Consider the following 15091-nt stretch of genomic DNA (forward strand, 5'->3'; position numbering starts at 1 on the left):
GTGCCTTCTTCTCTCCGTTCTCTCCCTCCTCTCTTGCTCTAGCTAAGCCCGGGGCTTTTATGGACCTTGGAGGGGAAGAAATGCATGCCAAATGGTCCATGGGCGGCCATGGGCAGGCCTGGAAGAGGCACCATGAGTCCTCACTCCGGTCTGGTCGGTGGGACTGGAAGCCTCTGGCCTGAAGGCGGGGCCTTACCAGGGACGCGCCCCATTCCGCCCAGGACTCTGTCTCCCTCCCGTTGCCATTCACGGACTCGAGGCTCAGCCCCAACCCTGCTCCAAGATCTGAGCCGGCAGCAGGAGTGGAGAGAGGCCAGGCAGTGGGAGCAGACACCCCTGAGTCTGCAGGGATGATGTGTGGGGGTGGAGGTCGTCTCCCCAGGACCAGAGGGTGCAGGCTACAGAGATGCCCAGGTCCTGTGCCTGGGAGAGCAGCCAGGGGAGCTCCCGCCCCGGCCAACTCGTAAGGGGCGGGGCTCCTGTTTGTCTCTGGCTTCTGTCTGCTCTGTGGAGCGGGAAGCCCAGGTCTGCAGCTGCTGGTCGGGTAGCTGTAGCTGCACCCAGGAGGGCAGATCCTGCCTGCTCCCGGGACCCCCACCAAGAGCACAGGCTCAGATCCACAGCCGCAGTTTGGGCAGCTGCAGCCCCACTCAGGAGGGCGGGGCTCCTTCCTGATCCATAGAGCAGGAGGCCTGGGTCTGCAGCCATGATTTGGGCAGCTGCAGCGAGCGTGATGCCAGCAGCTGCTACCATCACTAATTCAATATAACTGGTGTCCTCATAAAAGGGAAAATTTGGACACAGAGACACGCACACAGGGGAAGCCCATGTAAAGATGAAGGTAGAGATCTATAAGCCAAGGAATACCAAAAATGGCCAGCTAACCCTCAGAAGCCAGGGCAGATTCTCCCTCACAGCCCTCAGAAGGAACCAACTCTGCCAGCACCTTGGTCTCAGACTCCTGGGCTCCAGAACTTTGAGAAAATACATTTCTGTTATTCAAGTCATCCAGTTTGTGGTACTTTATTATGGTTGTCTGGCTGCCCTAGTAAATTCGTGCAATATATAAAGAATGTCTGCAAAGCAATAAGAAAAAGACAACCCAAGAGAGAAATGAGCAAAGGTATAAACAAACACTTCACAAAAGAATATATTTAAAAGGTGAGTCATATGAAAAATTGCTCAACATCATTAGTTATTAGGGAAATGCAAATTAAGCCTCAATAAGATATCACTGCATACTCTTCAGAATAGCTTATAATAAAAATATAGATATGAAGTGCTGGCAAGGATGTAGGGGTAGAGCAAATGGAACTCACATTGCTCCTGGGAGTGTAAATTAGTGCAACTATCTTGGAAAACTGTCAGTATCTACTAAACATGAATATACATATACCTATGACCTGGCAATTCCACTCCTAGGCATAGACTCAACAGAAATGTGTACATGTGTACACTATGGGACATAATCATGAATGGTTATAGCAGTACTATCCATAATTCCCTCAAACTGGAAACAATTTAAAGTTCTAGTCACTGTTGAATAGCTACATACATGGTAGTCTAGTCAATGGAATCCTATAGAGCAGTGAAATGGACCAACTATTACTACATGCAGGAACGTGTATGAGTCTCACAAAAATAAATGATGAGTTCCAAACACAAAGAGTATGGACTGTATGATTCCATTCACATAAAGTTCAAACAGGCAAAACTACCCTGTGATAACAGAAGTCAGGGTAGTGATTATCTCTGGGGAAGAGAGAGGGTTTGTGACTGGAAAGTGGCACAAGGGGAGACTGGGAGTGACAATGTTCTATTTTAAAAATCTAGATGATATTTTCCTTAGTGAAAATTCATTGAGTCGTACCTTTATTATTTGTGTGCTTTTCTATGAGTGTTATAGTTGAATGTAAAATTTTATTTAAAAAAGTAAATAGCTGGGCACGGTGGCTCATGCCTGTAATCCTAACACTTTGGGAGGCCAAGGCAGGTGGATCACCTGAGGTCAGGAGTCTGAGACCAGCCTGGCCAACATGGTGAAACCCCATCTCCACTAAAAATACAAAAGTTAGCTGGGTAGCTGGGTGTGGTGGCACACACCTGTAGTCCCAGCTTCTTGGGAAGGTGAGGCAGGAGAATCTGTTGAACCCAGGAGGCAGAGGTTGCAGTAAGCTGAGATTGTGCCGCTGTACTCCAGCCTGGGCAACAGAGTGAGACTCCATCTCAAAAAAATAAAACAGTAAATAAGGCTGGGTGCGGTAGCTCACGCCTGTAATCCCAGCACTTTGGAAGGACAAGGCAGGCAGATCACCTGAGGTCAGGAGTTTGAGACCAGCCTGGCCAGCATGGAGAAACCCCGTCTCTACTAAAAATGCAAAAATTAGCTGGTGTGGTGGTAGATGCCTGTAATCCCACCTACTCGGGAGGCTGAGACAGGAGAATCACTTGAACCTGGGAGGTGGAGGCTGCAGTGAGCTGAGATCGTGCTACTGCACTCCACCCTGGGTGACAGAGCAAGACCCTCTCTCAAAAAAAAAAAAAAAAAAAGTAAATAAATATATTCCAAAGTGTCAGGGGATTTCCACCCACCGATAACTGAAAATTCTAGTCATGCTTTTCACATTTGTAATGATTTATAAATGTGCTCTACTGAAAAACTGCTCTAACCATTTTTGTAAATAGGAAAGAGGTTGTAAGTTCAATTTTTTATTTGATAATTTGATTATATATATTTATTTGTGTGTACATGAAACATTTAATGTTGATTAACAATTTAAAACCTGGCAAAAGCAGAGTGAACCAGAGCATATTAAGCAAGGAATTTGACATTAACTTGGGAGGCACCATTGGATGACAGAATTAGCTGTCAAATGCATCTCAACAGCATCAACTTACCTCCAGTCTCCACATAGACGGCAGCCTATCCTCCAGCCTTACTGAGCGTGGAATTCCTCCAGCCTCAGACTCTCTCCCTTCCAGATTACTTCACACATAGCGTTCTCTGCTAAGACAGTCCTGTAACTCTTCACCTAGCTAACTCCTTCAGAGTCTAGTTCAGACATCACCTGCTGTAAGTCATCTCCTTTGGTCTCTCTTATAGTCTCTGAGATGGCCCCCAGTGATCTCTCCTTCTGGTGTTCATGCCCTTGTGTAATCTCCTCCCCTTGAGTATGAGCTGGATCTAGCTATTCACTTCTAAAAAACAGAATGTGGCAAAAGTGATGGGATGTTACAAGATGATGTTACAGAAAGACTGGCTTCTAGCTTGAGCTCCCTCTCTTCTCTTTCTCTTTCTCTCAAAGCTCTTGCTCTCACGTGGCAAGAAAATGACAACTTCAGCCAATAGCCAGTGAGGATCTGAAGCCTGCCAACAGCCAAGTGAGTGTCTTCAGGGTGAAACCTCCTTTGATCACGCAGTGAGATGATCGGAACCCCAGCTGACACGTTGATTACAGTCTTGGAAGACCCTGAGCCTGAGGCACCCAACTTAGCTGTACCAGATTTCTGACCCACAGAAACTTGAGCTAATACATATTTATTGTTTTAGGCAGATAAAATTTGGAGTAATTTGTTATAACACAATAGAAAACTAATACAACCCCAACTTTCCTCCCTCCCATTCCAGGTTGGATTTTGTTGTTGTTGTTTTGTTTTTTGTTTCTGAGACAGGATCTCTCTGTTGCCCAAGCTGGAGTGCAGTGGTGCAATCATGGCCCACTACAGTCTCAACTTCCCAGGCTCAAGTGATCCTCTCAACCTCAGCCTTCCAAGTAGCTGGGTCTACAGGCATGAGCCACCATGCCTGGCTAGTTTTTTGGGTTTTTTTGTTTTTTTTTGACGGAGTTTCACTCTTGTTGCCCAGGCTGGAGTGCAATCGCACCGCAACCTCTGCCTCCTAGGTTCAAGCTATTCTGCTTCAGCCTCCTGAGTAGCTGGGATTACAGGCATGCACCACCACGCCTGGCAAATTTTGTATTTTTAGTAGAGATGGGGTTTCTCCATGTTGGTCAGGCTGGTCTCGAACTCCCGACCTCAGGTGATCTGCCCACCTTGGCCTCCCAAAGTGCTGGGATTATAGGCATGAGCTACCGCGCCCAGCCTAGTTTTTTGGTTTTTAAAAAATATTTTGTAGAGGCAGGGTCTCACTATGTTACCAAGGTTGATCTCAAACTCTTGGCCTCAAGTGATCCACCCATCTCGGCCTCCCAAAATGTTGGGATTACAGGGATAAGCCACCTTGCCTAGCCCATCCAGGTTGGATTCTTGCCCCTGTAGTATCCAATGTTTCCCATGATCACAACATTTATCACACCTTATAGTAATCTAGTGCTTGCTTCCTTATCTCTCCCATGAAAAGGACCAAAGATTATGTCTTACAAGCTTTTTCATTACAGTTCCTGGAACTTAGTTGTAATCAATAAGTGGTGGATTAACACATAAAAGAATAAATAGATGATAGCTGTTTAATCTTGGAAAATAACAATCTTTCTGACTCTCCAATTCTTTTTTTTTTTGGAGATGGGATCTTGCTATGTTGCCCAGGCTGGAGTGAAGTAGCTATTGTTCATAGGCACCATCTTAGCGCACTGTGGCTTCAAACTGCTAGGCTCAAGTGATCCTCCCACTTTAGCCTCCTGAGTAGGTGGGACTATAGGTGCATGCATCATACCTGGCTTTGATTCTTAATCTTCTAATTTTAAAATGATGACAACTAAAAATTGTAGAAACATTTAAGAGACAAAATGATCATGACTTAGTAAGTAATTAGTCGTGAGAGGTGACAGAAAAGGAGGTGTCAAAGTTTGGGCAGCTACATATCTCTAAGGGAGAAAAAGAATACCAGAGCAGGAGCTAGTTTAGAGTGGAAGTTAGTGAGTTCAACGCTGGACATGCCAAAATTGAGCTGTCTTTGAACACATCCACCAGGCCAATGGGTATACAAGACTGACTGTTAGAGAGAGGTCTATGGTGGAATAGATTTGGGAGTTAATGGCATCTAGATGGCAATCTAAGTTACAGGAGAGAAGCCAAAGAGTGAGCTAAGCCGTGGTCTGAGAACAGACCCTTGGAGAACTTTCTCGTTAACAGGAAGGCAGAGGTGCACATGAAGTGGGGGATGGGGGGTAGTAGGCAAAGGTCTGTCTAGAGCTGGAAGAGTGTGGTAACCCACATGGACAAGGTAGACAGTTTCCTGAAGCAGGGAATGATCAATTATAACAAATACAGGCTGGGAGCAGTGGCTCACATCTTCAATCCCAGCACTTTGGGAAGCCAAGGCAGGCGGATCGCTTGAGCCCAAGAGTTCAAGACCAGCTTGGGCAACATGGCGGGTGAGACCTCGTCTCTTCAAAAACACAAAAATTACCCAGACATGGTGGCACATGCCTGTAGTCCCAGCTACTGAGGAGGCTGACATGGGAGGATCACTTGAGCCTGGGAGGTGAAGGTTGCAATGAGCTGAGATTGTGCCACTGCACTCCAGCCTGGGTGACAGAGAGATACCATGTCTCAAAATACAAAACAAAACAAAACAAAACAAAAATACAGAAGAGATCAAGATATTAACTAAAAAACATCCTGTTATGTTCTGAATGTGTCCTCCTAAAATTCATATGTTAAAACTTAATCACCAGTGTGATAGTATTAAGAGGTGGGCAGCCTTTAGGAGGTGATTAAGCATTCAGGGTAGAGCCCTCATGAATGGGATTAATGACTTCTGAAAAGAGATAGAAGAGAACTGCTTGTCCCTCCATGTCTTCTACCATGTGAGGACACAGAATTAAAGACATGGCCTTGAAGCAAAAACCAAACCCTCACCAGAAACCAAATCTGCTAGTTCTTTGATCTTAGACTTTGCCATCTCCAGAACTGAGAGAAATAAATTTCTTTTATTTATACATTACCTAGTCTCAGGTGTTTTGCTATAGCAGCAGAAGTAGGCTAAGGCATGTCCCTTGGATTTAGTAACCGGAAGATCACTGAAGTCTGTGGCCGATTGTATTTTTCAAAGATAAACTGCAACAGTATTTCCTATCCCACATGCTCTTCCACAATGCAACCTCCTCACTCTCCCCTAGAGAAATGGGATCTCTATGATCTCCCCTTGATTCTGGGTGGGCTTGTGACTGCTTTGACTGATGAAGCATAGAGGAAATGATGCCATAGGACTTCTGAGGCTATAAAAGTCGTAATGACTTCAGAGTCATAAAAGGCAATGCCACTTCCACCTTGTTTGCTGGAACGCTAGAGCACACCACATAAGAAGCGAGACCACCCTGAGGCTGCCACACTGTGAGGAAGCCACATCACACACACAGGCCATGTATAGGTCTCTGGTCGGCAGACCCAGTCTTTGCCTGGGTGCTAGACATGAAAGTGCATGGGCCTTCAGATGATGAGTCACCTGCCCAGACGAGGCCCCATGGAGCAGTGATGAGCTGTACTGTGTGGCCGATCCAACTTCCCGGCCCTCAGAATCCATGAGCATAAAAAAAGGGTTGTTGGCTGGGCATGGTGGCTCACATCAGTAATCCCAGCACTTTGGGAGGCTGAGGCGGGTGGATGACTTGAGGTCAGGAGTTTGAGACCAGCCTGGCCAACATAGTGAAACCCCATCTCTATTAAAAAAAAAAAATACAAAAAATTAGCTGGGTGTGGTGGCGGGTGCCTGTGATCCCAGCTACTCTGGAGACTAAGGCAGGAGAATTACTTGAACCCGGGAGGCGGTGGAGGTTGCAGTTAGCCGAGATTGCATTATTGCACTCCAGCGTGGGTGACAAGTGTGAAACGCCATCTCAAAAAAAAGTGGGGGGGGGTTGTTTTACACCTCTAAGTTTTGGGGTAATTTGCAATTTGTTACACAGCAATTATGCCTGAATCTATGACTTTGGAGAAAACAATTTCCATGGAGTGGCCAGGACTGATGCCAGGGTGCAGTGGGCTGGGGAATGAGCGGTGAGGAAGTGGGTGACACCATGAATAGATTACAATGAGATGAAGCCAAAGTGGAAGGTGATAGAGGGGCTTTATGGAGGGTTCTTGTCAGATGGAGTAGACTGGACAGATATATAGGCCAAGGGGAAAATGTCAGAAGTGGGAGAGAGTTGAAGAAAAGAGGACGCAACAGACAAGGGCTCCGGAGATGCACAAGCTGAGGAGCTGGCTTGAAGGATCTCCAATGAGACTGGAAGAAAATAACAAGGATTTGTCAGGAGAGGAAGGTACGGTAGGATAGCAGTGCAAGGAGGATGGTGTGGGTGCAGTTCATATGATCACCTACAGGGTCTGGACCTACAGCCAAGAAGACTGATAGGCTGAAGGAAATGGAAGGACCAGTGGATGGGGTCTCTTGGAGGTCAAATATAGTTGTCATGGGTGTGAGGTCATGAGATAGCTCAAAGGATGGGAGAATGCAACCAGAAGGGAAGATACTGAACTCTACATGACCCAGTCTGATTCATGACAAGATCCAGGGTGGGTCAGGGAGTGGTGGCCGCAGTAAAGTGGAGGTGGAGACTCTTGGAGTTAGTGATATCCAAGAAGTACAGGCCAATCAGTTGTGTGCCTAGGTGCTGAAATCTCTGAGGACTTGAGCTGGAGAGGAAGACCATGAGCCAGGCCTTGAGGGATTCAGTGAGAGGGCACTGGACTGTTTTTAGTGTTTAGAAGGTGTATTCATCTGTTCTCACATTGCTATAAAGAAATACCTGGCTGGGCGCGGTGGCTCACGCCTGTAATCCCAGCACTTTGGGAGGCTGAGGCGAGTGGATCACCTGAGGTTGGGAGTTCGAGACCAGCCAGATCAACACGAAGAAACCCTGTCTCTACTAAAAATACAAAATTAGCCAGGCATGGTGGCACATGCCTGTAATCCCAGCTACTAGGGAGGGTGAGGCAGGAGAATCTCTTGAACCTGGGAGGCGGAGGTTGCGGTGAGCCAAGATCGCGCCATTGTGCTCTAGCCTGGGCAACAAGAGCGAAACTCTGTCTCAAAAACAAAAACAAAAACAAAAACCTGAGACTGGGTAATTTATTAAAAAAAAAAGTTTTAATTGGCTCACCACGGTTTTGCAGCCTGTACAGGAAGCATGGCAGCATCTGCTTCTGGGGAGGCCTCAGGGAGTTTCTACTCACGGCGAAAGACAAAGCAGGAGCAGGCATCTTACATGGCAGGAGCAAAAGAGATGGGGAGAGGTGCTACAAACAACCAGGTCTCACAAGAACTCAGTATCTCAAGAACAGCACCAAGAGCATAGTGCTGGACCATTCATGAGAAATTCACCCCCATGATCCAATCACCCCCCACCAGGCCCCACCTCCAACACTGGAGAGTCCAATTCGTCATGAGATTTGGGCAGGGACACAGATCCAAACCATATCAGGAGGACAGTTGGATGGCATTTGGCTCAAAGAATGAGTTAAGCAACAATGTGGAAGTGACAAGAGGGAGGTGGGACAAGCCAGCCACCGTTTCTGCCTCAGAGTCGTGGAGTGTGGGTGAGCAACTTTTCTCCTGCAGGGCTGCAGAGGAAATGCAGACTTCTGTGAAGGCAAAAGATGATGATCTGGAGGAAAAGGGAAGTGTGTTCACAATGGATGGAGGGTTCCAGATTGTCATAGCTAAATAGGTTTTGAACCTGGAGTGAGAAAGAAATCCAAGGAGGGAAAGGAATGGTATAGAAAGGCTGGGGGAGGACAAGATTTGATGTTGGGGAAGGGCCTTTTTATTTTTTTTTGAGACAGAGTCCTGCTCTGTCACTCGTGCTGGAGTGCAATGGCGTGATCTCAGCTCACTGCAACCTTCGCCTCCAGGGTTCAGGTGATTCTCCCACCTCAACCTCCTGAGTAGACGGGACTATAGGCACACGCCACCACACCCAGCTAATTTTTGTATTTTTAGTAGAGACGGAATTTCAGCATATTGGCCAGGCTGGTCTCGAACTCCTGACCTCAGGTAATCCACCTGCCTCAGGCACGAGTCACAGAGCCTGGCCAAGGGGAAGGGCCTTTTCTGTTACAAGACCCTTGCTCTAGGTAGGGTCACTATTTTTTTTTTAAACTTTTATTTTAAGTTCAGGGGTACATGTGCATGTTTGTTACATGGGTAAATTGTGTCACAGGGGTTTGTTGTACAGATTATTTCATTACCCAGGTATTAGGCGTAGTACTCATTAGTTATTTTTCCTGATCCTCTCCTCCTCCCATCCTCCACTCCTCCAATAGGCCCCAGTGTGTGTCATTCCCTTCTACGTGTCTGTGTGTTCTCATGATTTAGTTCCTGCTTAGAAGTAAGAACATGCGATCTTTGGTTTTCTGTTCTGCAGGGTCTCTCTTAAGATATTCAGAACAGAGGAAAAAGCAGGAGTTAGATGGGTCTTGAGTGACTCTTTCTAGGCCAGCGTCCTTGTTTCCCAAGTCCAGTTCTCTTCCCCCAGGCTCCTCCCCTGGGAGCCTGGAGGCCCCTACACCTGGAGGAGCCGGGCCAAGGTTGGATGGCTGCCTGCCTGCCGAGGGCACTGTAGAGCGGGTGGTGGGTAGTGGATGAGGGTGGCACTTGACGCTGAGACCCCGCCGACAGCCTGGGCATCCTTGACTCGGGAAGTTACACAGAGTGATGGACCTTCCTGTTAGGACTGTTTTACTATAAATGAAACAGGAAAATATGAGAGAGTTCTTGAACTCTCCTGGGAGGAAGACAGTAACAAGCCATCTGACCACCCAACTGCAGCTCACTTTAAATAACTTTCTATGGCTATTTTAAGACAGAAATGGACATTCTCCTATTAATAAGCCTGGCTAAGTAAGGCTGATCTGCAGCCAGGGTGAATCTGAAAGCCTCCTTCCCCACAGAGTCCCCAAGGGCAACAGACAGAGGGGCGTGCTCTTGTCGATGGACAGGCCCACACTGGTCATTTCGGGCAGGAAATTCTGTAGGGGAAGAGATTCCTCAACCTCTTATGCCTGCTCTTGCCCTTCTTGGAGGAGCTCAAAAGCAGAATTTCTGTGGCTGAAAGGAGGATTTCCCCAGGGCCAGGCGTTGCCTCTCCCAGGCTCCGCACTGACACTCCTGGACACTCCCACAGCCTAAGGAAGGAGGGTCTATTCTTATTCCCTCCTTCCTTATAGATGTGAAAACAAAGACAGGGGAGAGTTCATTCTTCTCCAAGTTCTCACAGTTAGAAAGGGAAGCTGGGAATTGAGAGGGTTGCAAGTCACCACTCCCCACCGTGCCTGCCCTCCTGAGGCACGGTTTAGATGCTGCCCAGGCCTTCGAAGCCAACTTCTTGCTTTGCCTGGGCAGTGGTGGGAGGCGGCTGCTCATCACCGCTGGGCTCTCCCTTTCTTGCTCACTTGGCTCTTTGGTGTCCTTGTCATAACTGAAAAAGCCATCATGGGCTGACGACCAGGTCCCCTTCACCCCAGAACCATTTTGTGGGAGTGGTCACTGCCCGGCTCCCCTCCCCTCCTGTGTCATCAGACACTCAGTCACCCAAAGAGAAAGGGAGGGAGGGAGGGAGAGCCTGGGGCAGGGGCAGAGGCGCCTCAGCCTGACATCATGGCTTCTGTCTGTGTCACTGCCTTTCTCCTGCCTTTCCCAGTCTGACTTCTCACTGTAAGGCTTCTACTAGCCAGTTCTCTGCTTCCCCCATCTCTCTCTTCCTCATAGGCCCCCCAGCTCTAGCTCCACCATCTGGAATCTTCCGAGGAGTTCCTGTGGCCTCCAGTCCCGCAGCGGACAGACTGCATGTCTCAGCATTTCTTGGTTCAAATTCCTGAGGCAGGAATCTGATTGGCCCGGCTCCCTTTTCGTGCTGGGCCACAGGTCATAGGTTGCTGGCCAGCCTCAGTTGGCTGTCCACGGACAGCCAGAGTTGAGTGGGACAAAACACAGCTGAGGAATGTCCCCTCCTTTCAGCCGAGGCTGTTTGTTGAATTGTTCCTTTTAGAAGGGACAATGGCCAACATTTGTACTGTGCTTCTAAAGCCTCTGCTGGCCTGAGGCAGGAACACAGTCTTTTGGGTCCTTTATAAATAACTGTTTTAACTGCTAGAACAACTTACAATACGAAGGCTCTCACTCCAGCTTTCACTACGGCGTACCCCATCTCTTTCAGACTCCTCTCCTTGCCCCAAATCTGTCCCTGGGAGCCCCCAGTGGTGACTCAGGGGTGAGTCCAGTCTGCAGCCGACTGCCTCCCACCGCAAATACTGCTGGCCCCACGACCTTTGACACTTGGATTTTAGCAGCGGTCACTCTATCTCCCGGCCCCAGAGTCGCCTCTGCCGACGGCCTCAGCATACCCAAGCCCTGCCATGATTCAAGGAATAGCCACAGGGAGAGCTCTTCTCCCTGTTTGTGGGCCTCACCCCCTATTAAATAGGATTTTAATACTCGGGCCCCGATGGCTTAGGGGCCGGAATGCCTAGTTTTTGCTCGAAGGCCACTACGCCCAGGATCCAGCACAAATGCCTGTGAGGCCAGGACTGGGGATGCAGGGGCAAAGTTAAGGGGGGGACAGCAGGACTTCCCTTGCCTGGGCCTGGGGGTGACCGCACTTGACTTGATTCCCCTGGGAGAAGTTATTTCCCCACAGACTCCTTGGTCTCTTGGGCCGTAGACTTGGGTGGGCCTCCCCAGAAAGTCTGGCTCTCAGGGGTGAAGGTACTTAACATGGGGCGCCCACCCACCCAGTCTCCCCCACCTGGTGGTGGAAATAGGACCAGCTTTTTGCTCTACATACAACCTAGTGTGAGAGGGAGAGACCAAACAACATGGCAGTACGGCCAGTGGCCCGGGGGCAGACAAGCCTGTCCTCTCATGCCAGGGACCCCTCTCCAACTGGGCTGTTTGGCTTCTCTGAGCCTTGGTTTTCTTATCTGTAAATGGGGGATCATCTTTCCGCATGGGGTCATTGTGGGAATTAAACTGAATGAGGTAATGCACCTAAAGCACCAGAGCCTATTCTGGTCCCTGATGAGAGGTGTATGGATGGAGATGCTATTAATATTACGACCCTGAGAACTGAAGTCAGATTTGGCTGCGTGTGTGAGGCCCAGCCATCTCACTGCAGCAGCTGTCATGATCATTGCCTCCCAGGAGGAGCCGGAGGGAGACCCTCGGGGTGAAGAATAGCATGCGACCAGTGCCCCAGCCCCAGGGCTGCTGGGAAGGTGATGAGTGGGGAGGGAGAGTGGCCTTTAAGTTTACACATGTCTCCTTCCTGTACCCCATCTCTGCCTGGTCTTGGGGGTCACATGAGAAGTAGAAACAGGGTAGGAGACATAGGATGAGGATGGATGAAGAAATGGGATGCTGACAGCACTGGACCTAGGGCAGTGGGTTAGGACTTCAGAGGTGCACTATGCATCTTACTGGGTTGATTGCTCTCTGGCAGCCAGTCCTTTATAAGGGACATGAACCCATCCTTTGGATGTCAACTGGGGACAGATGGTTCAGACTTGATGTTATACTTAGGGACACATTTTCAGGAGCCACACTGCCTGCACTGGAATCCCAGCTCCACCAGTCACAAGCTATTTGACCTTGGACCAGTGTCTTAGTCCATTTTTGCTGCTATCACCAAGTACCTGGCCAGGAGCAGTGGCTCACATCTATAATCCCAGCACTGTAGGAGGCCAAGGCTGGAGGATTGCTTGAGCCCAGGAGTTTGAGACCAGCCTGGGCAACATAGCAGGTGAGACCTTGTCTCCACCAAAAATTTAAAAATTAGCTGGGCATAGTGGTGCATGCCTGTAGTCCCAGCTGCTTGGGAGGCTGAGGTGGGAGGATGGCTTGAGCTCAGGAGTTCAAGGTTATAGTGAGCTATGATTGTGCCACTCTGCTCCAGCCTGGGTGACAGAGTAAGACCTCATCTCAAAAATGAAACAAACAAAAAACCGAAAACTAAAAGACAAAAAAAATTCTGAAGCTGGGGAATTTATAAATAACAAAAATGTATTTCTCCCAGTTCTGGAGACTGAGAAGTCCAAGATCAAGGTGCTGGCAGATTCCGTGTCTGGTGAGGGCTGCTGTCTGCTTCCAAGATGGCACCTCTTGCTGCCTTCTCACATGGCGGAAGGGGCCAACAGCTCCTTAAGCCTCCTCTTTTATAAGGACCTTAATTCTTCTATTAATGAGGGCTCCACTCCTAAGGGCCTCACTCACCTCTTTTTTTTTTTTTTTTTTTTGAGACGGAGTCTCACTCTTTCGCCCAGGCTAGAGTGCAGTGGTGCAATTCGGCTCACTGCAACCTCTGCCTCCCGGGTTCAAGTGACTCTAATGCCTCAGCCTCTTGAGTAGCTGAGATTACAGGTGCCCACCACCATGCCCAGCTAATTTTGATAATTTTAGTAGAGATGGGATGTCACCATATTGACCAGGCTGGTCTCAAACTCCTGACCTCAAGTGATCCTCCTGCCTTGGCCTCCCAAAGTGCTGGGATTACAGGTGTGAGCCACCATGCCTAGCCCTCTCACTCACCTCTTAATACTATCATATTGGTGATTACGTTTCAACATATGAATTTTGGAGGGACACCTTCAGACCACAGCAGCCAGTTCCTCCAAGCCTCAGGTTCCTCATCTGTGAAATGGGAGTCACAATAGCACCTTTCGTGTAAAACTGTTGTGAGCGGTTAATCAGGTAATACACATAAAGTGCTTAAAACAGCACCTGGCACATGGCAAATGTACTCATTTTTATTGAATTCACCTGTGTCTCACCTTCTCTACACAGATTGCAATTTCCTCAAGACACTTTAATTTTTTGTTTCCCCATGATGGGAATATGAATGAGTGAAAAATAAACTTACTTACACATTTCCAGTGAAGAAGAGTTTATTCAGAGTGCTTAGATATGTGTGGTTTTATGCATTTAGAGAGGCCCATCCTCTCAGTGCGATGCAATGTGACACAGACTTACACCCACAACTTTCCAAACTCCCCTCCCACACTCTCCGCCACCTCCCATTCCCATATACCTACCCACATCTACCCACCCAGAGGCTCACTCCCATTTTCACACAGTCCCACACACGCATACCCCACCCCACTTCCATACTCCTCACACACAAACACATATGACACATGCTTGCTCTCTCTCCTATCCTGAAGCAATCTAGGAAAAATCTTTTCCTCCTGTATCCTTCCTCCTTAGGGGAAATCAGGAAAAGAAAACCTGGCCTGCTGGATGTTCTGGGTCTTCAGCCTCTTATCCATTTCTGCCCCTGCTCTCCTTCATGTCTTCCACCCTCTCATTTGAAAGAACAAACCCTGGGTGGTCTGGACCTGAGTCTCTCAGATGCCACTGAAATGGTGCCATGGTTCAGAGGTCACCAAGAAAAGGAATCTTCTCCCATTTCCTTCTGAGGGGAAAATTCATTTCCTTTTTGAGAATACGATTCCGGAGGGAAACGATTCTTTTCTCAACCCCAGAGGAGTATAGTGAAGCCTGCTACTGAGCAACTCAGCTACATCTGGTTTTTCCCCCTTAAGGGAAAATTCTAACAATCCTTGGCTCATCTCTGCAATGATTTTTGCATTGCCTAGGGGAGAGAGAGGAGAAAACTGACATATTTAACATCTTCTATCTGAGCGACATCATTTAAAGCTTATAACAATACAAAGTTGGATAGTTCTCCATTTTACAAATGAGGACACTGAGCACAGAGGTGTTTGCTAACTTGTCCATGCTTACACAGTAAATAAATGGTGGTGCCAAGATGCAAATTCTTCTAAAACTGCAACTAAAAAAGTGAAAGATTCTTTCCACAATCTTCAGTCTAAAATGGGTGACTCTGCTACTCTAGAGAACAGCTTTGCCAGATGATGGCCTTATCTTACACTTGCCCAGTGACATGCACAACCTTTTCCATGAGGGGCCTCAATACGAAACCGCATGTGACATGGCAGCTTTGCCTTTTTAGGGAGATGGAGCCACTTCCTTTTGACTCTGGCAAGGAGCTTCTCCATCCATCTACCCACCCATCCATCTACACATCCATCTACCCATCCATCCATCCATCCATCCATCCATCCATCCATCCATCCACGCATCCACACATCCATTTATCCATACATGTATCCTCCA

General features: G+C 48.1%; 1 annotated feature.

The window, feature by feature from the left end:
- Positions 9111-9776: an enhancer, noted in NCBI's record as "H3K4me1 hESC enhancer chr1:62802114-62802779 (GRCh37/hg19 assembly coordinates)". NCBI's record gives its function as "activates a minimal SCP1, AML or CMV promoter by ChIP-STARR-seq in naive H9 embryonic stem cells {active_cell/tissue: H9 hESC(naive)}" and the evidence as "EXISTENCE:reporter gene assay evidence [ECO:0000049][PMID:30033119]".

Source organism: Homo sapiens, chromosome 1 (assembly GCF_000001405.40).
Source record: "Homo sapiens chromosome 1, GRCh38.p14 Primary Assembly".
Lineage (NCBI taxonomy): Eukaryota > Metazoa > Chordata > Mammalia > Primates > Hominidae > Homo > Homo sapiens.